The sequence below is a fragment of the Homo sapiens genome, chromosome 3 (genome assembly GCF_000001405.40).
Source record: "Homo sapiens chromosome 3, GRCh38.p14 Primary Assembly".
Taxonomy (NCBI): domain Eukaryota; kingdom Metazoa; phylum Chordata; class Mammalia; order Primates; family Hominidae; genus Homo; species Homo sapiens.
In genome coordinates this window covers 148372907-148383620 of record NC_000003.12, presented here as the reverse complement: position 1 = coordinate 148383620, position 10714 = coordinate 148372907, and the positions used below count along the sequence as shown (strand labels likewise).

Here is a 10714-nt window from a genome sequence, read left to right as displayed (position 1 = left end):
CATCATTCTCAGCAAACTATTACAAGAACAGAAAACCAAGCACCACATCTTCTCACTTATAAGTGGGAGTTGAACAATGAGAACACATGGACATAGGGAGGGGAACATCACACACCGGGGCCTGTCAGATGGTGGGGAGCTGGGGGAGGGATAACATTAGGAGAAATACCTAGTGTAGATGACAGGTTGATGGGTGCAGCAAACCACCATGGCACGTGTATACCTATGGAACAAAACTGCACGTTTTGCACATGTACCGCAGAACTTAATAACAATAAGAAGAAGAACAGTACTGTGGCTGGAGCAGGATACTGTTGTGGGGGATGGGGAGTGAAGCAATAGTAAAAGATGATCTCAGAGAATTACAGGTGGCCAGACATATAGGGCCTTAAGTTACTACCTAAAATCCTAACCTCTCTTAACATTTTGACATATTTTCTTCTAGTTTTGTTACTTATCTAAACGTTTCATATAGTTGATATTATATCACCTATCTTATTTTCTTGCACTAAGCCTTTTTTATAACATTACCCCTTCAGCAATTTTTCCAATGGCACAACACTTCCAACATATTTTAAATTACTGCATAATATATTATCATGTATACATACGCAATGTCATTACTACGTACTGGTCATTGAAATTATTCACAGGCAGAAAGAAGATAAGGAGTAACAGTCTAATGATTCTGCAACTCAGCATCAGGCATCCTTATTTCGACTCTCTCCTGACTCTGTAGAACAGTTCTTGCCTCATTTGCAAGACTGCGTACACCTTCCCTATTCCTTTTTTCTTTCTTTTTAAAGAAAAATCTAGCCCATTACAGCACCCATATCTTGATAAGGTTCTTGTTTTCTTGTTTCTGGGGCTGAAAACTCTGCAGTTCTTGGATGCAGTTTCTATAAAAATAAATCACTCATTTCTCTAGACTTATTTCTTAGACAAAATAAAGATGTTACATGGACTTGTTATATATTAATACAGTATTACACAAGTCTATGATAAAAAGTATATTACCACATAGCCAACTTTCAATTTTTCTATTATGAAGTGCCAATATGATGTTTGGAGTAAAACAAGAAAGATGCATGGCTTTTGTAACTTACAAATAATTTAACTCACCTAAACAATGAGAGAAATATGCTATATTGAGGACCTTATTAGTTCATTATGATTCAAGAATTTTTAAAACAATGCCTGGGTCCTTTGCACCACACAGCTGGAATATGGCTGGAGGTGCTCTGAATCATGGAGAATCCAGAAAGAGAAGTATAGAATAAAGATTGATAAGGAATACACCAAGCAGATGTTTTATTTCTTCCTTTTGGGGATAATTCTAGAGATTATCACAATATAGTCTGTGGGAGGTGGAGAGAGAACAGGTAACTGGGATAACCCTGAAGTAGCTGGGAAACTCCATGTCTTTAGCACAAAGTTCTGTCAATAAAACCAAACACTGGCTTTCAGTTATAAAGACCCTGCTAGGTCAGCATCTTCCGCACTGCCTTATTGAATTGGGATTTAGTAACATAACTTGGATCTTAATCCCAAAAGTGATCAAAAGATCTGCATCATCATATCAGCCTTTACTAAGTATTAGGGGCATATTGGATGTGATGCTGAAAAGCTTCTTTCTGGTTCCTAAGGATCTTGGTGCTTTAGTGAGATAAACTAGTTATTGCTACTTGGTTTTAAAAATGGCCATGGATATTAGTAATGTACTTAACGATTACTTAAATAGCATAACAAAGGGAGCTGAATTTTCTCTGACCATAACCTGCCTCCTGCTATCTTTGCTGTGTTTGTATGTATGTTTGTGTGAGGGGGACATTTGAAAAGCACAATACTGTGAATATATAGTATGTTCACTTCAAACTTTAATTCAGAAAACGAAACCTCAAGGAGAAGAAACATTTGAAACCCAGATAAATGCCATTTTTGTCTTTCAAGCTTATGGAAAAGTTTCCTCCCTAAATCTTCCCCAATGCATCCAGATTATGGCTTCCGGTGGAGCTTCCTAATCACACAGTAGGGAAGATACATTAATGGAAGTCAGAGTAGGGTATTGAATGGACTAATGGAAGCTTTTTAAGAATTCCAAGTACTCTTCATATTAGAACCTTTGTCATAAAGGTGACAATATTAACAATAATAATCCTCTCTAACAAAAGACTAATATCAGGTCTGGCTCCATAAGAGCCACTGGTTCCCCTGTGCTCCGTCCGAGGATGCCCTGATTTCCATTTCTAGTCCTGAGCACATATTGTTCAATTTAATAACCTAAATTTTCACGAGTAAAACAGATCTTCAGAATGAATTCAGTAATTAGCTTCCCCGTTAGGGGGCTCATTTAATTTCAAAGCTAATGCTATCCACGTTTCCGTTTCTAATTAATCCAAATATAGCAATGCTATAGTAACCAGACAACATGTTCTTTGAAGAGCTGAAGCTATGACATTGTCATGACATCAGCAGACTTTCATTAGTGATATGATTTTAGAACACACTTTAAAACAAATGGAATCTTTTCTTGTCTATTTTCTTGACTTACTGGTTTTGTTTTGTGATTTTAAAATGTTTGAAATATATGCAACCTCTTCCAGTCTGATTTCTTAAGAAGTTTTTAGCTATTTATAAACAAGATAAATGCTTTCATAAGATTCAGAATAGAAGAATAGAGGTTGAGATTATTTTGAGATCAATGTCCTTGAGAAATTTAAGACAGCTATGGAAAGTTTCCTTGAGAAGTATTAGAAAGAAATATATAACTACCTGGCAGCATAAATAATCAGATTCCATTTGATTAGAGGATTTGGCATATGTGAAATTATGTAATGCTAGAATCCTGCCTTTAGCTCTTTCCAGGAATATTTATAGATATTTATAATTTGTATATTTTTGTGTTATATGTAGATGCACATATATGTGTACATATATATCCATATTTGAAGCTATAGTTATTCTTCCCTTAAAAATATCATTAAATGGAATATGGCATTGGCCTGTTTCCTGTTCAGTCATAAGGAGGATTATTTAAATGTGGTTAACTGCATGTCACATTTTCAAATTACATTGTCAAGGTTTTTCTACAGGAAGGATGAAATTAGAGATTTACCAACAGGTAAACATATTAATATAACTATACAACGATATATTATATATGTTCATACGTAGGAAGCAAAATGAAATAAATAAATAATAATAGACTGGTTAGCTGAAGGAGAGTCAAAGTTGTTCTAATCATTTATTTGGAGGTCAATCTGGCAGTTTTGTCTGGAAAAAGTCTGATCAGTTTACAGAAACAATAGGCTTGAGACAACCCCAAAAAAAGTGTAAGAACTATCTGATCAAAAGGATCACAAACAGAGAAAAATGAAAAGAAGCAATCAGTGAGCGATCCAAGGCCTACTGCCATCAAAATTACTGTTGAGAACAATGAGATAAATTGGATCCTCCCTGAGTGGTTGGAATTATGATTAGGACAGCTTTCTAAGAATGATTTTTAAATGGTTTGGATGAGGTTTTTAAGTGAGAATGAGACATTAACAGTTTTTAAAACCTTCAAGAAAAATGGTCAAGCTGTAAGAATGTTTGACCTCTGCTTCCTAGAACCAAAGCAAAGACAGGCTGTTTCATAAGAACAGAGCACCACCTTGTGTTAGTAAGTTATTACACCTCCTTGGGACACCTAAGGGAGGTTCTTTCCATCGTATTAAGTGAGAGCCTGTCAGTAATGCTCTTGAGTACAACAGGCAAGTGTCATAGCTTCCTACCATTTTACGCTCTAAGCCTTATGTAGTGTCTGTGTTTGTGTTCCTAGGAAGATAGAGAAAATGATGTAGAGAGGTGATGAATCGGACAAAACAAAAAATACTTTTTTGTATTTTTAATATGAATGCTTTTATCTCAGGAAGGAATTTATAAACTAAATTCATAGCACTGATACCACATTGTTTTTGCATTTAACACATCATATTCATTGCTTCTTAACATGAACTAGGTTAAGTACCAAATCTCAATGAAGCAATTTTGAATTTAAAATAATTTAGAAGTGCATTATTTCTGGAGTCTTCAAATAATTGTTAAGGAACGATGAAAGATCTAAAAATCTTAAGATGAAAGTAAAATCCCCTTAGATTTTTCTAGTAAAGACACAACACTTATAAAGTAAGAAGAAACATTAGTCGAATAGCATTAAAAATCTTCACTTTCCTATAATTGCTGCCCTAGAAATTTTATCTTTTACATAAAGAGAAACTTAAAGCCATGCAACAAATGTAAATATCTTGTTCATTCTTCAAAATTAAACTCAAATCTTAACGAACAGTCTTCTGTGGTCACTAGTGTTCTTGTGGCACTTGATTTGTAAAATTAAAACTTGTTTTGTATTAAAATGGTTTTTGCTCATGTTTCATCGCCTCTAGCATATCTTCAGCTCTTTGGCTATAATGTACTGCCCTCAGCCTTTTTTGTGACCCCAAACTATCTAGAAGAGTTATTGTCCTATGAAACTTTCTGTGATGATAAAAATGTTTTCTGAACTATCCAATACGGTAATCACTGGTCACATGTGGCTATAGAGCAATTGAAATGTGGCTAGTGTGACTGAGGGACAAATTTTAATTTTATTTTTTTTGAGACACAGTCTTGCTCTGTCACCCAGGCGGGAGTGCGGTGGTGTGATCTCGACTCCCAGGCTGCAGATCCATGGCAACCTCTGCCTCCCATGCTCAAGTTCAAGCGATTCTCATCTCTCAGCTTCCTGGGTATCTGGAACTACAGGCATGCACCACCACGTCTGGCTAATTTTTGTATTTTTAATAGAGACAGGATTTCCCCATGTTGGCCAGACCGGTCTTGAACTCCTAGCCTCAAGTGATCTGACCGCCTTGGCCTCACAAAGTGGTGGGATTACAGGTGTGAGCCACCGTGCCTAGCGTGATTTTTAAATATTAATTAATATAAATTTAAATTTAAATAGTCTCATGTGTCTAGTGGCTACTGTATGGACAAGATGGACCTAAAAATACCTTAGAAAAATATATATTCAATGAATAAATGTCAAATTATTAGAACATTATGTGTTAAATTATTTCTACTTTTTGTTGTAGGAAATAATTACAATTCTCAGCTTCATGTTTTGTGTCTTATCTCAAATAAAGCTTGAGAATTCTGTAACTCATTCACATAAGAATTTTTTATAACCTAAATTATTGAGATAGTTTTGCTTCCTTCCTATACTCACCTTCTGGCCTTTATTCTCATATAATTTTTTAAGTTTTGCCTCACAATTCTGCATAAATTCTGAAAAGCAATAAATTTAATTATTTGAACAACATAGGAGAGTTTTTAAGTATATATGTAAGTGAACTTGAAATCTATACGAGTAGATTTAAATTTCAGCACTATCTTGTTCAAATGTCAAAAGTAAAGTCACAGAGGAACCCCTTATCTCATTAAGTCCTTCTCTCCCTCCATCCTGACCAATGGCTTAGAATAATATGACATCCTGAAAAACTTTTCTGGATGGTACCCTGCAAGTGTATAGGCATATAGAAATATTTTGCATTCAACTCCCAAATTATTTTCATTTAATTTACTCATAAAATATTATATCTATATTATATGTCAGTCACTTAGCCAAGTACTGAGGCAGATACACAGGCAAACTCTCTATATAATACATCCTTAAGGTTTTCAGTTTTGAGGCCAGGAAGCAGTTAGTTTTAACAGTTATTAATATATATTGAACACTTAATTCTTTCAAGATCTCTGTGGTTGTATCATTAACCTCATTTTATAAATGATAAAAGTAAGCCTTGGAGAGGTTAAGTAACTTCTTTAAAGTAATACTGTAAAGCTGGCAAATGAAAAAGCCAGAATTCGAATTTAGGTCCTGTTACTTGCAAGTCAGACAATGATAACTGTCATGTTTTATTACATTTTTAATAAATACTTATTTTAAATAAACCATTATGAATGCGTTAAGAGTTTGGTGGAAAATGTTATTAGAACTCAGTGAGTATGTTTCTCATGAATTCAAGTATATCAAGTATATACTTTTTTGATTATCAGAGATGTGGATTCAAACATAAAGGAGGGAGAATTTTGTCTCATAACCAGATAAACACATATTTATCAAATAATATGTAATTTGAGCTAGACACAAAACAGATCCCCTAATTACATAGTTGAGATTTTGTGGCTGTGCAGGCATTTCTGATCATGTGTTTTTATTCATCTACAGGATTCTCTGAATCACTATTTGAATAAGATATCCTAAAAACTTCATTAGATGGTGTTTTGTGCTTAATTATGAAATATGAAATGGGAAACACATTTGTATTATCCCAGCAGAATGGGGATAGGAGGGCATATCATGCTAACTTTTACTTGAAATATGGATGTTTAATATTTTATTTAATATGAAACACATATTACTTACTTTTTAAAAGTTAGAAAATTCTGCATTTTTAAAAATGCACTTTTTCCCTTTAGTTTTTTCTAAATGTGTAAACACAAAGTTTTGTTACCTTTTTTTTGAGTTGTAGAGATGATGACCTTGCTTTGTAGAAAAAAAACATTATTTTCAAGCATATATCATCTACATTTCTGAGGTTAAATGTGAGAATTTGAGAATAGATTCAGTATAGCTTCATGTCGAAATGGCTAATCTTTATTGTTTTGAACGTATTTCTCCTTTCTTTCTTTCCTTCTTTCTTTCCTTCCTTCCTTCCTTCCTTTTCCTTCCTTCCTTCCTTCCTTCCTTCCTTCCTTCTTTCTCTTTCTTTCTTTCTTTCTCTCTTTTTTTTTTTTTTTTTTTTTCTGAGGCGGAGTCTCGCTCTGTCGCCCAGGCTGGAGTGCAGTGGCGTGATCTCAGCTCACTGCAGTCTCCGCCTCCCAGGTTCAAGCGTTTCTCCTGCCTCAGCCTCCCGAGTAGCTGGGATTACAGGCATATGCCACCACGCCTGGCTTATTTATTTATTTATTTATTTATTTATTTATTTATTTATTTTGTATTTTTAGTAGAGATGGGGTTTCATCATATTGGTCAGGCTGGTCTCGAACTCTTGACCTTGTGATCCGCCCGCCTGGGCCTCCCAAAGTGCTGGGATTACAGGCATGAGACACTGCACCCAGCCTTCTATCTTTCTTATGTAAATACTTTCCTTCTTTCTGAATGTCCCAAAATTAAATTTTAGGAAATATTAAAATTTTTGGTAAAATATTTCCACCTTATTCGCATTATTTTATTTCTCTTTTTTTATTATTTGACAAAGCTGGATTTCATTGCTAACCAGTTACGCTTATGATGAAGCACCCTTGTACTACATCAAAAACATTAATTATTCAATTATTTCTTTTAACTTATTGGCAATCATGTATCTCATTCATCAATTGGTAAGTACATATTTTTGAGCATTTTCAGTATGTCCAGCACTGTAGCAAGGAACACAGAAGAGAGAAATACGGTGTATGTCCTCATAGGACTGCAATTTTGCTTGAGTGACAGAATTAACAAATGTCATCAATATTATTAGATAAAACAAAGATAAAAATAGCATTATGTCAATAAATGAAAGAGAAATTAAAATAAAGCAAGGTTAGTATGGGTTCAGTATTCTCTTTACCATATTCTTGAGACAGTATTGATTATTTCATTTCATTCTGCAGACGATGAAACTAGATTTCAGGGAGGCCCAGGGGCTTTTCACCTGGGAATTTAACTCCAAAGCTTATCTTTTTTCTGTTGTGTCACCATTTTAGAGAAAGCTGGAGGTAGCACTCATGCTGGATTTCCTAAACCATGTTGGGTTAAGGGCAGGGTTAAGCGATAGAAGCCTAGTGCGTGAATGAACATGGCAGATGAGTATGCTTGTCTGATGAGCCAGGTGTATGTTTTATAGATTAAGATGATTAGGGCTGTGGGCTGGAAACAGATCTTGGAAGTCATGCACATTAAATAGCTGATTATTTTTGTAATAGATTTTGGAGCAGGGCAGTTGCATATTTAAATGGCATTTTAGAAAAGCAAAGATGGATGAGTGGGAATAGTTGCAATCAGGAAAGCAACTTACCTGAAAGAAATTGTAGAGAAAATATTGCCTGGACACAGGCTTAGAACAAGAAGCCTCTTCCTATTCTTCTAAACTTTGAGCTTCTAGAATGAGTAGTGTATTGACTCTTTTTAGACATCACCCACTTTCTCCTCAGCCGACTCAATATGCCTTCCATAACTCCTATTTCCAATAATATTGCTCAGCGATAGAATAATTTGCAAGGCACCATTTACTTATTTATTGTAGGTCTTCTCCACTGGAATTTAAGTGCCATGAAGAAAGAAAATGTATCTTGTTCATCCCAGTATTCCTTGAGCCTTGGATATATCCAAGCACACAGAAGGTGCTCTAGGAGTGTGCTTTTGAATTTTTATAGGCTTTTCTTTAAATCATTATAAAATCATTCAAGTTTAGTTTGTGGTCATGGCAGAAATGGAAATAGATATTATGCAATGTGCAACAAAGGTGCTCACAGGAAAAATGCATACTGGACTGTAACTAAGTTTAAAATGATGGTGGCCTATTTCCAACTACTCAGAAGGTGATTAGTTTGTGAATTATCCACAGACCTCCTGCTTCTCTTTCATCTAACTGCTGCCAACTTTTGGCTAATTTTATGCTCATTAACACTTCCTCTAGAGCATGGACAAGGCAAGGGTGTGACCTTTGTGTCTGTCCATTTTGCTGCTGATTAACAAATTTTGGGATGATTTGGTGGAATAGAGATTGAAACTATTGGCAAAGATGAATATTTTATATTATTATGTATAGGTTTTGTTTATTGATGTTATTATTCCTCGTTTATGCATGACCCATTGGAAAGATAAATGTGTAATGCGAATATAGTATACACAATATTCTCTTTGATCGTGAACATTTGCTGACACATCCATACATATGGATTATAATGAAAATAGAGCTTTAAATCCAAAGGTTAAATTGAAACAGTTGTCATGCCAGAGTTATTCAATATAATGGTGTGTATCTTTTATATCTCCTAATGTTCAAGGAGTTAGACAACCTATGTAATTTCATAAATAAATATTTGTTTTAATTAGAAGAGCCATGCATATTTTAGGGAAAGTCACACAGCATATTTAATGACTTAATTTGGCCACAACCCATTTATAGTTAATAAATATGTCAAGTTCTGTGATGAATTGCAGTGAATTGCAAAATAATATAGAAATAAAAATATCAATAGGTTGATTAGAAGTCATAGTTTTAGAAATGAAGAAGCAACATTAAAACAAAAATGAATTACAAATATAAAAATGTATTAGATAAAGTTGAGAATCAGTCAAGGACAAAATATTTAACAATGTATAAAATTTACTGCAGGACTCATGGGATTTAAAATATGTCTAATATGCAAACCATAAAGAAATGCAGTAAAAATGCCTAACTATATAGACACACTCATTGTTTGATGAAATCTCTCCCCTATATGGTAAAAATTATTATTCTGTGATTCTGGGTTTAGCTGGAATGTGTTACTAAAAGAATCCATTATTTTAATTAGCACCAGTGTTTATATGATAAATAGAGGCTGAGGATGGTATAAGTACAGAGATCAAACTGGATCTTTTACCTTTACCTTTGGGGAAAGCACAGATGTAAATTAAAACATAATAAATCATATTATTTACTACTTTTGAAAAATTAAACTCAAATGAATTTAGGCTCAAAATTTTGTATAGATGTACAGCAAAATAACACAGACAAAAATAAAGGGTATGGCTTAGCTGAATGGAGAAAGTTATAGAATTTTTTTATATGTTTATTGCCTTTGCTGAGCATCATTTGAATTAACTTTACAGGCACACTAATAAGTACAATTAAATCATTTAACCACGTTGTACTTATAGCGTATATTTCTGAGTATAACTCAAATATACTTGTACCAAGCTATGCCATCTTTTACTCAATATGTTTTCTAGAATTGTTAACTGCAGTCGGTGAACTTCTTATTCATTATATCATATGGCCTTTTCAAAGTTTACATAAAACAAAGTGAGGTATAAATAAATGTATAAGCAAACAAATAAATAGGCTTGCTAATGTTGGAATTCTTAATTTTAAGTGCATCAATGCTACTATATTTCTACCAGCTGCTTGCCAGTGTATTATCGCTATAAATTCTATTTGTATGAAAAACTCTTAGGGAGGAGACAAGTTCCTTCGCACAATGTTATTTATTTTAAGAATGCCTTTTGGTCATTTAAAAATCTCTCAGAGAAGTTTAGATATGCCAGTGACTTATTGATCCCTTTTCTATTTTTAATTTTGTACTAGTTACTCACAGAGAGTTGTAAACAAGACTGGTGTTTTATTGCTATCTACCAGTACTAGTTGTTTACGGATGGCATCTGTTCTGATGAGTCCATGCCAAACACACACTAGCTGTTAAATGTTTTGAATATTATCCTCGTTGTAAATATAATTTTACTGGATTATGCATGTGAAAACAAGAATTTTGTCAGTTAGAAAGCAAACAATTTTAAAAAAATTAGGTCAGCTTTAGAAAAGAAGCCAGGTTTACATGTTTAACTATGTAACAAACCTGCACATCCTGCACATGTACCCCTGAACTTAAAATAAAAGTTGGAAATTTTTAAAAGCCATGTTGTTTATATTTTCTTAGAAGTTCACTT

At 33.9% G+C, this 10714-nt stretch overlaps 1 long non-coding RNA gene across 1 annotated transcript in view; it reads right to left on the bottom strand.

Moving 5' to 3' along the window:
• LINC02046 (long intergenic non-protein coding RNA 2046) overlaps window positions 1-10714 on the bottom strand; it is a 119066-nt gene that overhangs the window by 16336 nt on the left and 92016 nt on the right. The window lies entirely within an intron of this gene.